Here is a 19,215-nt window from a genome sequence, read left to right on the forward strand (position 1 = left end):
GTGGTCACCAAAATGTTACCAGGGGGTCCTTGTGCCTAGAGTTCCCAAGATGGCGGCAGGGCCACTTCCAATATGGCGGCAGGCCTCTTGTTCTCTGACCTGGGGTTCTTGGCCTCAGGGATTCCAAGGAATGGAATCTTGGGCCATGTGGTGAGTGTTATAGCTCTATTAGAAGCCATGGGTCACGGAAGAGAACTGTGGAACCCAGCGACTACTGTTCAGCTCGATTAGGAAGAACCCAGGCACTTAGTTGTGCAGGAACAATGGCAAGCCTTTAGCCCGATCAGGAGCAGCAATGGGTGCCTCACTGGATCAGGAGCACAGAGGACATCCTGCTGGATCTGGAGGGGTGGAAGTCAACGGTGGGTCTGGGACAGTGGCAAACAGCAGTGATGGACAGTGAGCAAAAGCTCAGCTCGAGCCGTAACAAACACGGACCACAAGTGTGTGCAGTTGCATGATTTAATAGAGTGAAAACAGAGCTCCTGTACAAAGGGAGGGGACCCAAAGGGGGTTGCCTTAGAATGTTTTCATCTGTTTTTATAAGATTGGCCAATATTATTATTTTTAAAAAACTTTATCACATTTGATATTAAGGTTATGCTGGCTTTATTTAATGTATTGGGGAGTTTTCAGTCTTTTCCTAGGGCATTCTATATTGGTAAAGTAACATTGGAATAAAGGATAGCTAAGTAAAACTGAGCCGTGAACCTTTCTCATCCTAGTTCCTTTTGCAGTAATAGCTTTTATCACTTTCTGAAACCCTTCTGTAATAATTGCCCTGTTAAAGTTTGCCACTTCTGGGGGCGGTTTTGGAAATTTATCATTTGCTTGGAAAATGATACATTTCTTTTAGGTTTCCAGTTTTTTGCCAAAGAGTTTTGTGAGATATTTGCATATGCTGCTTTTAATCTCTGCTTTGTATGTGATTCTCTTTATTGTCATTCTTATTCTTGTCAAAATAGCTTTTGTATTTTTAAAAAATTCTATCTTTCTGTTGTATTCATTTTACTTTTTGTTTTCATTATATCTCTCTTCCTAGTTTCTTTGGCTAGAACACTTAGTTTCTTGTTTCAAAATGAAGGCAATTCATGTTAAACATCTTCCTCTGGAGAATTTTCACAGTGTTGGAAGGTATTAATACAAAGCATTTTTCTCTTTTATTTACAGTTGGTTCTCATTTTCCTTTGTGATTTCTTTGATCCAAGGGATCAGTTTTGCAACCTCAAAGTAGTTAATATTCTTTTGGCTACCTTTACCATTACCCTATTACCTTCTGATTTTCTTGACTTACTAATGTTGTCAGAGAATGTGGCCTGTAACATTTTTTTTTAATTTCATTAATTTTTTTTGGTGTGTGACTAGCATAATTGTTTTTTATATTTAACAAAGGAAAAAATGTATATATGGATATATACTCTGGTCAGGAGAAATAAAGCTGTGAAGTAAGTTTATTTTGCGTGTTTTCTATAAGCAGTATATAGCTAAGTTTTGTTTTTTATTCAAATCGGACTAGTTTCCATCTTTTAATGGAAGATTTGGTCCATTTTTTGTGTAATTACTAATATACTTAAAATTTCTTCCATCTTATTTTGTGTTTATTATTTAACTCAAATTGTTCCTTTTTCTTTTTCTTTTCTAATTTTTGCTGGTTAGTAAGGTACCATTTTATTTTCACTCCTGCCACCAAACCCAGTTAATTTGGGAGATCAACCAGGGTTTTGCATTCCATTAATGGTTACCTTCTATTTTCTTATGCTCATAATCAGACAGATTCTCTACAGTTACTTGAGAAGATAATTTTCCTTGATACTTTATTTACTACTTCACTGTATCATCATAATAATAATGAAGTCTTTGGAATACCTTTACTTTCCCCTGGTGTTCCTTGTTCCCTCTCCCCTCCAATGGGAATATTAGAACAATTTTATTTCCTTCCTACTCTTTCCACTTGATTGACTCATTTATTGAGTAAATAGTTTCAAGTACCTCCAAAGCGTCAAGTACTGTTGTAGCAATAATTTTTTTTTTTTTTTTGGGAGATGGAATTTTGCTCTTGTTGCCCAGGCTTGGAGTGCAATGGCATGATCTCAGCTCACTGCAACCCCCGCTTCCCGGGTTAAAGTGATTCTCCTATCTTGGCCTCCCACATGCAGGCACCTGCCACCACACCCAGCTAATTTTTGTATTTTTAGTAGAGACGGGGTTTCACCATGTTTGCCAGCCTGGTCTCTAACTCCTGACCTCAGGTGATCTGTTCGCCTCGACCTCCCATAGTGCTGGGATTACAGGCATGAGCCACCGCGCCTGGCCTATTGTAGCAGTATTTTGTATATACTAGTGAACAAAACAGACAGAAATCCCTAGTCTCATTGACCTTATATTCCAGTTTTGCTGAAATCATCTAATAGTTTTAGTTCATCTGTTTGGAATTTGTTTTACTGTATGTCTCTTCTGTTTCATGAACCCTTATATAGCACTTTATCCATTCCCAGGCAGTCTGTCTTTATCCACTTAAAATGAATTATACCTATATTGCAAAGTACTCACCATGGTTTACTCCTCATATTCATCTTCCCATATCTTGAGATCTCTGTTAGCCATTTACTAGTATGTTAGTATCATTTCTTGATTATTTTTCCTGGTGGGCTATCAGAGTCATAGATACCCTCACATATTCTGTTAATACAAAAAATACACTCAAAGTGCTTTTTCTATTCTCTCATTCAACAACAATTCACATGGAACACTTATTTGACCACGTGTGGGGGATTTCTCTATTTGGAGATACCATCAGATCTGACAGGTTGAGGGCTCAGTCACCAGGAGTCACCAAGAATATCCCCAACTTCCCACCTCACCCCCTTCAGACACCAGTTGCAAGTCCAGGCCTACAGAACTTCTGACCAACTGGCTTCAAGTTGGGGTTCCCGTGACTTTCTGCTTAGGTTTGATTAATTTGCTACAGCAACTCACAGAACTCAAAGAACACTTACATTGTGTTATCTGTATATTATAAAGGATATTTCAAAGGATACAGGTGAAGAGATGCATAGGGCAAGGTATGGGAGAAAGGATATGGAGCTTCCATGCCCTCCCACGGCTTGCCACCCTTCAGGAGCCTCTACGTGTCCAGCTATCCAGAAGTTTTCTGAACCTTGCCCTTTTTGATATCCAATTGGATAGACATAATTGATAACCATGTAAAAATGTAATTGGACCAAAAGGGTATGATCTAACACTAGTAGACTGAGTAGGGAAACCCAGCAAGGCCTGTATGTTCAGATTCTTCTTGGCCTCTCTGTGCCACATTCCTTCCTCCAGGGTATGGGGCAGGACCTCATCTGGAATGAGGTCTTATGACCCACAATCAGAAAGGCTGTGAAAGATTAGAGTCCTGCTGTGGGGTAGGTGAAAGGAGGACAGGGGAAGGTTAGATTCTATTTTCTAAGGAAAGTGCCCCAACATTATAACAAAAGACTATAACAAGGGCTGTTGGAGTGATATGCCAGGAACTGTGGACAAAAACCAATATATAATTTAGATCAGAATATCACACATCTTTCTCCTTGGAAGAAGAATAATACTTTGTCTGAGATATAATTCTTATATTGTAAGAGTCTAGCTTCAATTCTACTGCCTTGAAGATTTTATTGTTGCAGTTTAATGTCCAAATCTACTCTCATTTTTTTCCTTTGTGGGTAATTTATTCTTTGTAAATTTTTTTAGTGGCGCTCACATTTTATTGGGATTTTGTAGATATATTTGTGTCTTATCAGTTCAACCTGGATTTTAGCTGTTTTAGTCAGCAGACTAAATTTCTTCCTTATACAGTTTTCTGGAAAATGTCTTCATTAATTATTGCCTCTCCATCTGTTTCTGTCCTTCTGAGGAATATTTTTCTGATTCAGTTCTCCAGTTTTGTTTTTGTTTTGTTTTGTTTTTGTTTTTGTTTTTGAGATGGAGTCTCGTTCTGTCGCCCAGGCTGGAGTGCAGTGGCACAATCTTGGCTCACAGCAACTTCCACCTCCTGGGTTCAAGCGATTCTTGTGCCTCAGCTTCCTGAGTAGCCGGAACTATAGGCGCCTGCCACCACACCGGGCTAATTTTTGTATTTTTAGTAGAAACGAGGTTTCACCATGTTGGCCAGGCTGGTCTTGAACTCCTGACCTCAAGTGATCCACCTCAGCCTCCCAAAGTGTTGGGATTACAGGCATGAGCCATCACAGCTGGCCCAAATTTTTTATCTTTATGATTTCACCTCACATTTTTAGCTATGCTTTGCATATTACTTGATTTTCTAAGTCAACTCTCAAAGCGACTGTACTCTCTTTGAGTTTCTCTATTGGATTTTTTAGTTGAGTAATCATGTTTTTGTTTTAACTTCAGAAAATCTTTTTGTGCTGAACTTGAATCTCCTTAAAGAGCTCTTATTTCTTTCATCAAAGTCATAGATGGATTATTATTGTTTTGTTTTTACATCAGGGCTCACTCAGCTTGGGTTATTTGTAGTATTCTACATGGCCTCAGTCTTAGAAGTGCTGTGAAGCAGAATCATTTAATTCACGGGCCAGTCTTCTACGGAGGTACCTAAAAGAAGCCTTTTGTTTCCTTGACTTCTTTATTCCTACAGCCTCAGTGGTAGGGAGGATCCACCTCACCTGTCCAGCTACTTCTGGCCTTTTTGGGGTCAAACACTACGGGTAAACTCACATGTCATCCTCACTCCTATGGATACACAGAGCTCTTGGAACCAAGCTCTTCTTAAAGTTCTTTACTTTCCTGTCCTTAGTTCAGAGCTTCGTGAAGCTGATCTCCAAGTGAGAAAATCAAGTTCTACTTCCTTTCTCTTCCTTCCTTTTGGCAAGGCCAAAGACTTCACTTATATCCAGCCAGCTACCTTATAACCCAGAAGCCTTTTGGTTTAGGAATGACAGCTAGATTGAAGTGGGGGCTATAGAGGAAGAAAACTGTGTTCACGTCACCACCTTCCCAGATTTCACCCCATCCTCCGTTCTGTTATGCATTTTTATTATTTTTATAAATCAAAAACCAATAATACTTTTGCCATCTATCAAGTGGTCTAATTGTATTTATGCTGAACTTCCTTATACTTGGTTTATATTATTGCAAGTAAGATAGACTTGGAAAAAATATTGACAACTTACGAAATCATCAATTCCTGGGAGACTGGATAGGGAGAGGATTCCTGATTAAGGAAATCTAGACTTAGAAGTCCTAATTTTACACTAGAATAACGCCTTTGTTTTCACTATTAATTTAGAAGAAAGGCTTAGCCTTGGAGGCCAACTTTAATTTTATTTCAAAAGTTTATGATTTTGTTAATTTCCTGTCTTGTTTCTTTTGCCAGGTGGTGTGGGGATGATGTGCTCATTGAGTGAACAAGGGAAGCAGCTAGCTATCCAGGTGTCTAATATCCTGGGGATGGATGTGTGTGGCATTGATCTGCTGATGAAAGATGACGGCTCCTTCTGCGTCTGTGAGGCCAATGCAAATGTAGGTTTCATCGCCTTTGATAAGGCTTGTAATCTAGATGTAGCTGGTATCATAGCAGACTATGCCGCCTCCCTTCTACCCTCTGGCCGGCTCACCCGGCGTATGTCCCTGCTCTCCGTGGTGTCCACTGCCAGTGAGACTAGTGAGCCGGAGCTGGGTCCCCCAGCCAGCACTGCTGTTGACAACATGAGTGCAAGTTCCAGCTCTGTTGACAGCGACCCTGAAAGCACGGAGCGAGAGCTGCTCACCAAGCTCCCAGGGGGCCTGTTCAACATGAACCAGCTGCTAGCCAATGAAATCAAACTACTGGTGGACTGACTCCACTGGTAATTAACCAACAAAACCCTTGTAAAACTTTCTTTCTTCTTTTCTATTTTTAAAACCAACTTGCAATGCTGTTCATGGAGGATGCTCAGGAAGATGAGAGAAAATTAGTAGGATTAGTTGGAGAGAGTGGGAGATAGATGAGACCTCTGCTAGTAAGATGTTACTTTCATTTACAAATCCTACAAATAGAGAGGCAGAATAGGTGGGGTATAGAAAAATGTCAGGCTCTCATAGTTACCCTTTTAAATTGCTAAAAAATGTGTATGCTCATAGGCCATGAGGAACAAATACTTTTTTTTTTTCATGGTCCCTTGCTTTTGTTTTTGTACAAAAAAAAATGGTTTTGCTACAAATATCCAAGTAGCATAACTTCACATTGTGTTGGAAGATTTGTCATCAGTGAGGAAAACATCTGCATAAATTACAGGAATTTTTGTATTATACAGCTCTGAAAATTCTGCCATTTCCTTATTAACTAGCAGCTTTAGTTTGTAGTTTATGAAATCTTGAGGGGCTCTTTTACTGGGATTTCTTATTTTTTTGTTTTTTCCCGCTTAATTTGGTGGGAGGTCAAATTGAATATAACCCAATAAAGGCTTCTTAATGACAAAATTGGCATGTTTGCATGATGAAATGGAAATGAACAGTATTGCAATGTCCGGTATACAAAATAACATTAATTCAATGTAGATAAAATTACACTAGTTTAAAATATGTGCATTCACTTGTATTTGTTAGTGTTTTAGTCTTTTTTGAAAGATGTGCTCTGTTAATGTTGCTTTTTTTTTTTTTTTTAATACATGCTAGTCTAACATTTCCTGCTCTATGCCTGCATCTTTAACAATGGCCAAAGTGAAGAAAATGCTACCTTTTTTGTTAACAAGACACTGACTTGAAACATGTACATTTAAAGCCTTTTATTTTTTCCCTTTTTGTTTTGGTAGTTGGGCATTTAAATAAGGACAAGGAAAAATATTTTTGGGGGCAAATCAAGAGCCTATGAGTTCTAAGTATAAAGCTGAAGTGATTTCGAATGCCAGCGTTATATATTTGCATTTTTCACATTTTACGAGGGAGTATATGTGTATGTGTGTGCACGCATGCATGTGTATGTGTTTTGCTTTTTGTTTCCATCAACTAATCAAAAAGGATAATTTAGAAAATGGAGCATGATGGGAAACAGAGTTTTTGACTTTAAAAAACAGATGAGTTGTTTTCATAAGTAGACTCCACTGGGGTAGAGGTATTCACCTTAAAACATAGGGTGAGTAGATGCTTTTTTAGGCCTTTTTGTGTATATGTACGTTGTTTGTTTTTTTCCTTTTGTTTCTAGCCTGTTCAGTGTACAGTTTATTCAAGGCTACATGCTTTTCTTTAATGCTTCTGGCTATGCATTTTCTCTTTTTACATATAGGATTTGGGATTGGGGGTGGGTTGGATGTTTTTGTTTGGGGACTTATTTAGTAGTATTGAGTCTCTTATAGCCCTACTCTTAAGCCTTCAATACTGTCCACTCTTTATATTCCTTTACTTGCAGAATTTATAAAAGCCCCCAAACTGCATATAATATGAGCCTTTAAAACATGGGTAAAACTAATCCCATTGATGGGTTTGGATGGTATGTTAAGAAATGGAGATGCTGCAGAGCCCAACGTAATTTTTTAAACAGCAAGTTTTCCATCTCCCTACGAATCCTCTGAAGCTTTTACCCAAGCCCTTTCTTGCCTCTCCAGTGCTATTTTCCTTCAGATGGACCTTAAACATAATTTCTTGGACACTACTAGAGAGACTTCGAGGCAATAATAAAAGATCAGTATTAACCAGCTATAACAGAGGTTTGATCATGCTTACTTGTACAGTTTTTCCCCCGTTTTAAAAAGGAATGTAATAAAATTTGTTTTTTCCATAGAATTAAATAATATTAAAATTGAGTGAAAGGTTGATTGTTGATGAATAGAATAGTACCTCTCATCTGTGCAGTGTCTCATTTCACCTCAGAGAAAAGGATACATAAGAGGAGTTTGTAATTTATCTTAGGATATTCTAATTGCATTTAAAAGAACTTATCTTGCGCAGGGTAAATGGGGGACTCACATACATATATTAATACCTCTGACTCATTAACAGAAAGAAATACTTGGTACTTCTTTCGCTGAATGACCATACTGTGGAGGATGCATACTATTTGGTATAGAGAAATAAATGAGGAAGAAAGAACTGCTTAATTAAATTATCATTCATATGTTCATATAGAGACCATCTGGTTGCCATGTGTATTATGACACATACACTTTGAATAGTTACATATCACAAGTATGTAGTTCATGTTTGTGTTGGTGGGGTAAGGCATCAGGAAAAATGTAGTTAGTCTTTTCTTAACTTATACCAAATTAACCAACTATATTATAGGAAATATGTGAAATTAGTTCATTAGCTTTATTCACTATTATGCATTCACATGATATTAAAACGTACACTCACATGTTAGAATGAAAAGAGCAGTAGTTATCTTAGATTTTAAAAACATGGATATCTTCTTGAATTCCTTCAAGATTGAGGTAGAGAATAAGAGCAAATCATTCTGGAAGTACCTTAAGGAAACAAACAGCAGCAGATATTTAGGTTAAACTTATTTTCATAATTGTTTAATAACTTTTGTATAATCTTCATTGCTATTATGAGAGAGAATGTATATATCAAATATGTGTAATGATAAAATCTGAATTGTAAAATTTTTGTATATTGTTAAAATTGTAATTCTAAATTGTATTTCAAAAATGATTATTTCTGATATTGTTTTTATGTCACCCATGATGAAAACTGGACTTTATATATCTAAACATACAAGTATGAACTATTCTATTTAAAATTTTTAATAGTTTTTTTCTTTTTTGGTGCCTATAATTGATTGGTCATTTCTGCTGGCTTTTCTCCAATGAACATTGAAATCTTCCTGTATATGTTACCAATAAGAAAACTACCCTGGAACAGTAGAAAAACCCAACAAGAGACTTGGCATTCATCAAGCACATTATCAGACTTTGAGAACATATTGAAGGCATTGACTTTGAAAATCATCTCTTTTTCTCAAGAAGAAAGCAATGGAGAAGCAAATTTGTTTCATTCAGTGAATCCCCAGTTTGGGGCTTGTGGGGCTTAGAGACATTGTGAAATCAAATCTTGTGTTATACTTTTCTCCTGGCTCACTTTTTTTGAGAAGGTTTATGGGCTATTTGGCTGGTGAGACACGATCCCCTCCTAAGAAAATGTAGGTGCTCAGACAGGTAACCACTGCTGCTACTGTTTTTATTTGTTTGTTTGTTCAATTTTATTTAAGATTTGTTTTTGTTGTACTAGGATTTTAAAAAATGTAATATATTGCAGGATTTATAACCAGGTTCACTGACTGCTTGCTTGCTTTCTTTTTTTTTTTTTTTTTTTTTTTTTCTTCTTAAAAAAACAAAACAAAGTTTCATTTAAAATACATTTAGGCACCTTTGGAGCTTGGATTTTGGAATGTTTCAGTAGTGGACAGAAATCTGCTGTTGGAATCTTCTAGTCTTCCAGGTTTAATTTGAAATGTTTTTAGTTTTGTTTTGGATTTTTGTGTGGTATTTTATTTCCTTTATACCAATGCCATTTTGCCATGCTGTTTTGGGGTGGCTGCCTAACTCTAGTGAAAATTCTTTCTATATTAATGAAAGTTTGGCCTTTGAAGATCCTTAATGTTTTGCATTTTTTACATTGTTTTTAAAGAAATATTCTAACTGCTTGCACTGTTACTGTTCTTTACCAGCCTTTTCAGGAGCCAAAAAAACAAATACAAACAAACAAAAAAATACCCAGAGAAAAAACTTTCCTTCTTCCCCCTTCCTGATGATGAGTGAGAAGTATTGAGAACTTTCGGGGTCAGTGCCCTTCTAAACTCCCCTTCCCCCAATAATGCAGCTGTATAATGAATGGTAAATGCACCGGTTTGGATTCAGGCACAGCCCCAGTCTGCCTACAGGTAATTTAACTCTTTCTCCTTTCTTTCCATCACTAGGCTAACTTTCTTTTTTTAAAACTTCCTTTCTTTACGTACTTTAAAAAGTAACCATGGGTTTGTCATAATTCTCACTTAAAAATAATGCATAAATGTATCTAGCAAATAATATGATTAAAGAAGAGCTTTTGGGGGTAAAGTTTGACTTGGTTATGATATACTCAAGACTTGGGAATTTTGTTTAGCCATTTAGATGACTCCATTTCTTGCATATATGTCTATAATTAAGTATTTCAGAGTGTGAATTTTTTGGCTTTGTTTTTGTTTTGGGTTTGTTTGTTTCTTCCATTGTGCTACTCTGGCTTAAGCTTTTTCAGGGGTTGGTGTTCCGAATACACAGTGAGCTCACAGTATAAAGACATCAATTAGGAGTTGACAGGTATGGAAAACTAGAGTTTTGAAAGGTAAAATTAGGCTCTAGGTTATATATATGGTAAAAACTCAACATAGCATTCATTTTACCTTAGTGCTTCTCTCTGTGACTTTATAAAAGTGAAAGGGAATAGTAAGACGAAGATAATACAAAAAAATTTAGTTCTTTTAGGAGCAATGTGATTTCAGAACTAATCGTTTTAGCATTTCTAAGATACTAGTTCTAACAAGGAGATGTGAGCAGTTTGAGATTATCAGAAAATCATGGTTTAAACCTTCAAAAATTACAGGTTTGAACAGATAGGAGGACATTTCTGAAGCACAAGATGGCTAAGCACATTAACCAAGGACATAAAATGTCAGGGATAGGACTACAACTCGTCCATTTTAATAGCCTTTCTGTTAGGTAATAAACTAAACTATCCTCTCCTCCGTCTTTACCCCAGTCTACCTACCCATTCTTCCTTTCTCCTATACTTCCTAAAGTTTTAGTTCTGAGCTTTTATTATTTTGGGATATTGTCATCTTTCTAATAGGTAGAATTTTAGTGAAAGTAATCAGGACCTTTTCAAGATAGACTTCTGCATAATTTCATCCTGTGGCTTTGGACGTACTATCCAAAGAGGCTGTACATCCAGCAAGTCACTAGTTAGTGAATAGGAATTCTTGGCGTGTAATGCCATTTCTTGTAGCTGAAGGAAGACATGTGATAAGTGATTAACCTGTTCTGTGCTTCAGTTGACTCTTATAAGGACAGTCATTCCCTTTAAGCATCTTAAGACAAAAATATTTATCTGTTGAATTGGAATTTACTAACAGAGGGAATTTGAATTGGAATTTACTTCCAGCTGCACTCATGCAAGAATTTGTGATGTATACTAAAAAATAAAAAAAGGCTCATTCAGGAGAGCCTTGTACTCAGCAAGAGTGGCTAACATTAGAGCATACAGACTATGTGATTGTATAAGGCATGGAGAGTTAAACAACCTCCAGTCAGCTGCCTGTTTGAATACCACTGACTTGTTAAGAATGATCTTGCTTTTAGATTTTACCATATTCAAACTTATTAGGTGAGCCTTATATAGCATATATACCTGGCTGCTATTGTGGGGTTTGGGAACATGAGGGGTGGGGTGAACTGTTGTTGTTTTAGGTTTCAGTCAGACAGACATCCCTGTGCCTCAGTTCCCAGAAGCACAGCAGGCCTCTAGGAGCATCCGTGGGAACGGCGCAGTCCTGACATCACCAACTCTCCTGCTCAGGCTCATCCCATATACAGAGGTCAAAGGGTGGGGTTTGAGATCGGGGGAAGGAATGAGAAAGTAGAAGCAATGTCACTTCAGTGCCACTGTTGACTAGTCTTTGGTGCTTATGTCAGTATTTGTTTTATTTCCTGATTTTTTTAAAGTTGGCAAAACTACATATTTTTATCTTGATGAAGGCAGTGGGAGGGTGGAACAAAAACAAGCCATTACTGCTATTTCTAGTTCATTTACTGGAGACTGTCCCTTAATAGCTAATGTAGAATAAATTTGAAACATAGACCTAGATGACAAAAAGAATGGGAATAGAAATGAATCTCAGGATTTGAACAAACAGAAGACGTTTATGCTGTGTTGATGCCCAGTTCTACAACTGCTATTACATTTGTCATTCTGTCTCCCCTTTTCCCCTAATTCTTTTATGTATGTATGTATACAGTTTGAGGAAATGTGCATCTATGGTCAGTCCTTTTTAAAAGACTTAATGAATTTATTACTCTTTTGCAAAAAATATACCCACTGCTTATATGGGCATACAAATGCTACCCTATTTTAAATGTAGGTGGCGTATGTGTTCGTGTTTTAATGTATTCAGAGCCATTGGGCAATAAGCAGTCCAGAACATTGAAAACTCAAGCAGGTAAAGCACCTAACACCCTTAGTTTCTAGAATTACTTTAAAAAACTTTTATATTGCTGCATCTTCCACAGTTCTTTGGGTAGTCTCTGAACTTAAAATTTGTAGGAGTTGTAGACTACCTAAATTTTTAAGTTATGGTATTTGTTCATAGGTTGTAGGGGTAGGTAAAGAAGGAAACAGACAAGAAAATGGCTTCTTGAGGTGGCAGCTGCTGAGTGGCTAAATCTTACCACTTTCTTTCTACTTTTTTTGGAAATTTTCCCAGCTTAGCATGAACATGGATCATACAGTGTTTGATTTTATGTGATTGAGATTTTTGTTTTTTATTTTTGGAGGGAAGGTCTTGGAGAAACATTAAAAAGTTGGTGTATGTGCAAAAATACGAAATGTTAAACAAAGGAATTTTTTCTTATTTAATCTGAATGGTAAGCAAGAACTTTTTCTATATACCCTTCTGCTGCAGCAGACAACTAAACTGGTAGGTGGCAGCAGAGGAAGGAATTCTTCAGATTGATGGCTACTGACTTAAAGTCTGCATAGGAGAAGAGATAGAGCATGACATACCAAGTGAAGCAAGGGGGACAAAAATGGAAACAGGACTAAGATTCCTGCATTTTGACTCTAAATGGTAAGTTATCTTTAACTAAGAATGTGTTTTTAGTCTGATAGCAATGTTATATAAATTATATGATTGGTACTATGGCATGTAATCATAAATGCCTGTAGGTCCTTGCCTTAACGTTGAATTTGACCTCACTGGTAAACTGTCATTCTTTACTTTGAATAATAACTAATAGTATGTAAAATTAGGATTTTTCTCCTCAGCATGTTGGTATATGTGACCTTTAATTATGGCAAAATTATGTGGACAGTAAATCTGAATGTTTTTAATTTGCAAGATAAATAAAATATGCATTGTTAATCATTTTATACAAATAAAAGGTTCTGGCCACGTACTGTGGCTCACGCCTGTAATCCTAACACTTTGGGAGACTGAGGAGAGTGGATCACCTGAGGTCAGGAGTTCAAAACTAGCCTGGCAAACATGGAGAAACCCCATCTCTACTAAAAATACAAAAATAAGCTGGACGTGGTGGCGGGCACTTGTAATCCCAGCTACGCGGGAGGCTGAGGCAGGAGAATCGCTTGAAACCCAGGAGGCAGAGGTTGCAGTGAGTGGAGATCAAGTCACTGCACTCCAGCCTGGGCAACAAGAACAAAACTCCATCTCAAATAAATAAAAATCAAAACTAAAAGATTCTTCCCTTTTTAGTGGGAGCTTTGGGAGATAACAAAGAGTATAATTGGAAAAAAAATTACTGAGGGTGGCGTGATCTCTTCCAGCTGGCTATCTAGGTCAAGACCCATTTCTTTGTCACTGTGCCATGTTCCACTCTGCCATCAGTTCCACCCTGCCTGTTCACCTTTCTCTCTTGCTTATCTGGCTGGGCTTTTCCCCTGTTCCTCTATCTCTCCCTGTCTTTGTGCCTCTCCCTTATCCAAGTCTGTTTGTAAGCTGCTTTTTCTCACATTCAGTCCTGAATTTTAATTATCCGATGTTGCCATTTTCCATCTCTGCCTGCCTGTTTTTCCTAAGAGAGTGTGCATGTCTGTCTTTCTCTTCCTCCCTCTCTCCCCACTTTTCATTTGCATTCTTCATTAGAATTTGACTAGACTGAATAGAAATTAAATGATACTTTGAAGTTCTCTAGAATTAAAGAATGTAAATTTCAATTAAATTTATAGAATGTAAATGTCAATTAAATTTATAAGATGCAGACCTGTTTATTCACCCAACTACTTATTTAACTATAGTATCTGTTGTTTCTGGCAACCAAGCTGTGTATGATCAGTTGGACAGAAATGAAAGGCATATGGTTCTTATCTTATTTCAGCTTTTTTTTTTTTTCCTTTTTTCCTTGAGACAGGGTCTCACTCTTTCTCTACTGTACTTGAGCCTGGGTGACAGAACAGTAATTTTGATTACTATATAAAAATTTTAATGCTTTAGAACTGAAAGAAAATGATAAACTTGAGTTTTAATCTGAATCAAAAATTGTTTTTTTCTGTAATTTATTGTTAAGTTAACCTGGAACACAAGAGAGCATTTAACTTGAATTTTGTTTGTCTAGGCATATTGGCACAATAATTTTGTTTTATTTTGTATGTTCTACAAGGAATTTTTGTTAGATTTTTTCTTTTGGTACAATTTTTCTGACTAAAATGCAGCATAATTGTCTTTATTATAGGATTGCTAAGGAGTAATAGTACGGAGACATCTTTGTGGTTTTATACACACACACATATATATATTTAACATAAGCTGTCTAAAATAAGTCACAAAACTTGCAGATTAGAAAAGGAAGCACATTTTGGCTGTTTTGGTGTCAGCATCTTAATTAAGTAGAAAATATTATGGACCTATAAATTGAACTTGCGACTGTTCACTCACTAGAGAGAACAATTTCCAGGGAGTTAGAATAGTTTTTCCTGAAGGAGAGTCAAATAAATTTGGGAAATAAGGTTGCTCTTGTAAAACAGTAATAGATTTAGCTTTTATTTTTTAATGATAAGAACATTAAATGTCTTCTAAGTCAGAATCAGAGTATATCTTTGTTAACTGAGCTCACCAAGACAAAGTGATAATAACACAAAACTGTGGTTTTTGGTAGTCTAATCAATTTAGAATGTTTTATTGTCATGTTAGTTGATTTTCTGTCTTTATTTGTATTTTTTCTTATCCTGGTTATAGAGACTTTTAAAATCTATGATTTAAATAAGTTGTGTTTTTCCCCCCTAGGTTCTTTTGAAGTAACCAGTGATCTTTTTTGCTTACCCTCATCAACAGAATGGATGAAGATAGATTTGACTGTGTGCTTTTTCAAGTGGAGAATATGAATATACAGAACAAGAAAGCAATAACTCCAACCTGTTTGATTCCGTCTGTTTTCTAAATAAAGACACTATGCGCTGGAAATAACATAGCATGCCGTGTGACTTGTTCTTTATATCAGTTCACTTTGGTCCAGATATCTAGACTTGATTTCTAGCTCCACATGTCATTCCCTTTTTTTCTACTCTTCGCCTTTTGCTCTTGAGTCCTTTGGTTCTTAACAGACTGATTTCTATGATACCTTCTAAAATGATTACTCCTCTTTTGGCACATAGGTGAGCACTATTCAATGGATTTTCCCCTGTCCTTTTTAATCACACTTTTATCTGTCCATGCTGAATAGTTGTTGCTGTACTTTTTAATCTCTGAAGAAATGCAAACTTTTTAAAAATTTCACCCTGAACATCATAGAGTGTACTTACACCTATATGGTACAGCCTACTATACACCTGGGCTATGTGGTATAGCTTACTGCTTGTAAGCTACTATCCTGTAGAGCATGTGAATACTGTAGACAATTGCAACGCAATGGCAACTATCTTATTAAAATTTAATGGCCGGACACGGTAGCTCATGCCTGCAATCCCAACACTTTGGGAGGCTGAGGCGGGCAGATCATTTGAGGTCAGGAGTTCAAGACCAGCCTGGCCTGGAAACCCTGTCTCTACTAAGAATACAAAAAATTAGTGGGGCATGGTAGCGGGCACCTGTAATTCCAGCTACTTGGGAAGCTGAGGCAGAATCCCTTGAGCCCGGGAGGCAGAGGTTGCAGTGAGCCAAGAACACACCACTGCACTCCAGCCTGGGCGACAGAGTGAGACTCCGTCACCAAAAAAAAAAAAAAAAAAAGCATGATGCTGGGCATGGTGGCCTACGCCTGTAATCCAGCACTTTGGGAGGCCCAGGTGAGCAGATTGCTTGAGGTCAAAGAGTTCGAGACCAGCCTGACCAACATGGTGAAACCCTATCTATCTCTACTAAAAATTATATATATAAAAATCAGCCAGGCATGGTGGCGCATAATCTCAGCTACTCAGGAGGCTGAGGCAGGAGAATCGCTTGAAAAGCCTTAGCTGGGCATGGTGCCTCACGCCTGTGATGCCAACACTGGTAGGTTGAGGTGGGCGGCTCACTTGAGCCCAGGAGTTCAAGACCAGCCTGGGCAACATGGTAAAATCCGGTGTCTACAAAAAAATGAGCCCAGCGTGGTGGTGCACACTTGTCCCAGCTACTCAGGAGGCTGAGGTGGCAGGATCACCTGAGCCCAGGAGATCGAGGCTGCAGTGAGCCATGATCATGCCATTGCACTGCAGCCTGGGTAACAGAGTAAGACCCTGTCTCAAAAAAAAACACTTTGATTATCATCATTTAACAAGTTTATTGTTAAAGCATGCATGGTAGTGTCACCTTGGATCCTCCAAAAGGCAGACACCAAGGTGGAGTCAGATACACTAGAGCTGTACTGAGGGAAATGCCTGTGAGGGATACAAGGGAGAGGGATCAGTAGGCAGGGAAGGCCTTCAGAATGCAATGTGCATGTGACAGAAGAGAGAGAAGAGAACTCAAACCTCAGCTGCTCTGAGAGTCTCCCAGCCTGATGAGGAATCTCAGAGCAGATTACCTATTAAGAGCAGTCCCAGATTGGGCAGAGATGGCCTGACTACTAGTCCAGAGCAGCCTGGGGAGAACACATGGTTTTCATGTGAGTGCTGTAACAGATCAGGAGGACTAGCAGCTGGTGGCTGTCAGATTTGTTACTTGCATCCAGTTTTCTTGAGAACTGAGTGGCACAATTCCACTCCTTAACACTGCACAGATCCACTTTACACCTTTGGGTAGCCCCTCCACAGTTCCATGAGCTTCTGATATAAACTCCACATCACATTGCATCTTTTCCTGCCACTGATACCCTCTTATACTATAAAGTTTATCAGATCATGTGGTCCAGTTTGTAGGGCTGCTTGCATCATAGCCTGAATCTTAATTTTCAACAGCCCTTTCTTGCTCCAAGGCCCTACTCAAGCCTAACATTTTTTTCATGTCATTTACTATATGGGTTGGAGTAGTGTTTCTAGGTGGAATGTCTTGCTTTCTGAATCTAGAGAACCCCAGAGTTACAGTGCTTGCTTCCTTGTAGCAGGTGATGCAAAATGTAGTGTGTCTTTTTACTTTGTAGAGTATTCCAGCATGCCCATGTCCCCTGGTCTCCTAGAACCCTTAAAGGAATGGCAGATCCTGGCCGGGAGCATTGGCTCACCCGGTGGCTCTGGGATTACAAAGCCTGTAATCCCAGCACTTTGGGAGGCCGAGGCGGGTGGATCATGAGGTCAGGAGTTTGAGACCAGCCTGGCCAAGATGGTGAAACCCTGTCTCTACTAAAAATACAAAAATTAGCCAGGCGTGGTGGCGCGCACCTGTAGTCCCAGCTACTTGGGAGGCTGAGGCAGGAGAATTGCTTGAACCCAGGAGGCGGAGGTTGCAGTGAGCCGAGATCGTACCATTGCACTCCAGCCTGGGCGACAAGAGCAAAACTCCATCTTAAAATAAAAAAAAAAAAAAAGGAATTGCAGATCCCCAAATCTATGTAGAGTTTCTCTCTCACCTGGGACACATAGCAAGGCTTCCGGTGTGCTAGCTACCTTACATTCATTTTGCTTATTTAGCATGATGTCATTGATGTAATGTTCTATGGAATGCCCAGATGGCCCACGTATTAGGCCATTCTTGCATTGCTATAAAGAAATACCTGAGACTGGTTAATTTACAAGAAAAGAATTGGCTCATGTTCCTACAGGAAGCATAGCAGCATCTTCCTTCCTGAGGGGAGGCCTCAGGAAGCTTGCATTTCATGGCGGAAGCCAAAGACAGAGCAGGTACATCACATGGTGAAAGCAGGAGCCAATGGGGGAAGATGCCACACACATGACCAGATCTCCAGAGAACTCACTGTCATGAAGACAGCAGCAAGCTACGCAGGATCTGCGCCTACGGCCCAAACACCTCCCACGAGGCCCCACCTTTAGCATTGGGGATTACAGTTCAACATGAGATTTGGGCAGAGACAAATATGCAAACTATATCATTCCATCCCAGCCCCTCCCAAATCTCGTCCTCACATTACGAAGTACAATTACGCCTTCCCAACAGTCCCCGCAAAGTCTTAACTCATTCCAGCATTCATTCAAAAGTTCCAAGTTTCAAATCCAAATTCTTATGTGGAAATGAGTTCCTTCTACCTATGAGCCTGTAAAATCAAAACAAGTTATTTACTTTGAAGATACAATGGGGGTTTGGGTATTGGCTAAACATTTTTGTTCCAAGTGGGACAAATAGGCCAAAAGAAGGGTTACAGAGCCCATCCAAGTTCAAAACCTAGCAGGGCAGTCATTAAATCTTAGACTCCATATTCCATATCCAGGGCACACTGCTGGCAGGGATGGACTCCCAAGGCCTTGGGCAGTTCTGCCCCTGTGTCTTTGCAGGGTTCACCCCTCTCAGGTGCTCTCACAGGTTGTTGAGTGCCTGTGGCCTTTTCAGGCTCAGGGTGCAAGCTGCAGGTGCATCTACCATTCTTGGGTCTGGAGGATGGTGGCCCTCTTCTCACAGCTCCACAAGGCAATGCCCCAGAAGGGACTCCATGTGGGGCCTCCAATCCCACATTTCCCCTCCGCACTACCCTAGTAGAGGTTCTTTATGTGGGCTCCACTGCTGCAGCAGGTTTCTGCCTGAACACCCAGGCTTTTCCATACATCCTCTGAAATCTAGGCAGAGGCTGCCAAGAACCCACCACTCTTGCACTCTTTGTACTTGCAGGCTTAACACCATGTGGAAGCCATTTACAACTTGTATTATCCAAAGTGGTAGCTTAAGCTGTACTTCGGCCCCTTTGAACCCTGGCTGGAGCTGGAGCTTCCGAGAGGTAGGGAGCAGTGTCCCAAGGCTGTGCAGGGCAGTGGAGCTCTGGGCCTGGCCCATGAAATCATTCTCCCCTCCTAGGTCTCAGGGCCTGCAATAGAAGGGGCTGCTGCATAGGTCTCTGAAATGTATTCAAGGCCTTTTTTCATTGTCTTGACTGTTAGTGAGAGGTGACAGCATGTTGGTGGTCCTCACAGCCCTCGCTCCCTCTTGGCGCCTCCTCTGCCTGGGCTCCCAATTTGGTG

The 19,215-nt window shown here is 39.0% G+C and overlaps 1 protein-coding gene and 1 long non-coding RNA gene across 44 annotated transcripts in view, besides 2 other annotated features; one reads left to right on the forward strand and one right to left on the reverse strand.

Annotated features, from left to right (window-relative positions):
• Positions 1-15,142, forward strand: part of RIMKLB (ribosomal modification protein rimK like family member B) — a 114,454-nt gene extending 99,312 nt beyond the window's left edge. For 10 of the 43 annotated variants that reach the window (XM_047429188.1, XM_017019684.2, XM_047429191.1 and 7 more), the window contains 2 exons: positions 5,372-12,790; positions 14,963-15,142. In XM_047429188.1, the coding sequence (XP_047285144.1) occupies positions 5,372-5,835 (464 nt within the window). In that variant the 3' untranslated portion in view covers positions 5,836-12,790; positions 14,963-15,142. Of the gene's footprint in view, positions 1-5,371; positions 12,791-14,962 lie in introns of those variants that run through there. The other 33 variants (NM_001352267.2, NM_001352268.2, NM_020734.5 and 30 more) reach the window with 15 other exon arrangements.
• Positions 4,158-4,659: an enhancer, noted in NCBI's record as "H3K27ac hESC enhancer chr12:8924703-8925204 (GRCh37/hg19 assembly coordinates)". NCBI's record gives its function as "activates a minimal SCP1, AML or CMV promoter by ChIP-STARR-seq in primed H9 embryonic stem cells {active_cell/tissue: H9 hESC(primed)}" and the evidence as "EXISTENCE:reporter gene assay evidence [ECO:0000049][PMID:30033119]".
• Positions 4,660-5,159: an enhancer, noted in NCBI's record as "H3K27ac hESC enhancer chr12:8925205-8925704 (GRCh37/hg19 assembly coordinates)". NCBI's record gives its function as "activates a minimal SCP1, AML or CMV promoter by ChIP-STARR-seq in primed H9 embryonic stem cells {active_cell/tissue: H9 hESC(primed)}" and the evidence as "EXISTENCE:reporter gene assay evidence [ECO:0000049][PMID:30033119]".
• Positions 8,262-19,215, reverse strand: part of A2ML1-AS1 (A2ML1 antisense RNA 1) — a 55,096-nt gene continuing 44,142 nt past the window's right edge. The window contains exon 2 of the long non-coding RNA NR_046715.1: positions 8,262-8,435. This is a non-coding gene — a long non-coding RNA (A2ML1 antisense RNA 1). The remainder of the gene's footprint in view (positions 8,436-19,215) is intronic.

Source organism: Homo sapiens, chromosome 12, assembly GCF_000001405.40.
Source record: "Homo sapiens chromosome 12, GRCh38.p14 Primary Assembly".
Taxonomy (NCBI): domain Eukaryota; kingdom Metazoa; phylum Chordata; class Mammalia; order Primates; family Hominidae; genus Homo; species Homo sapiens.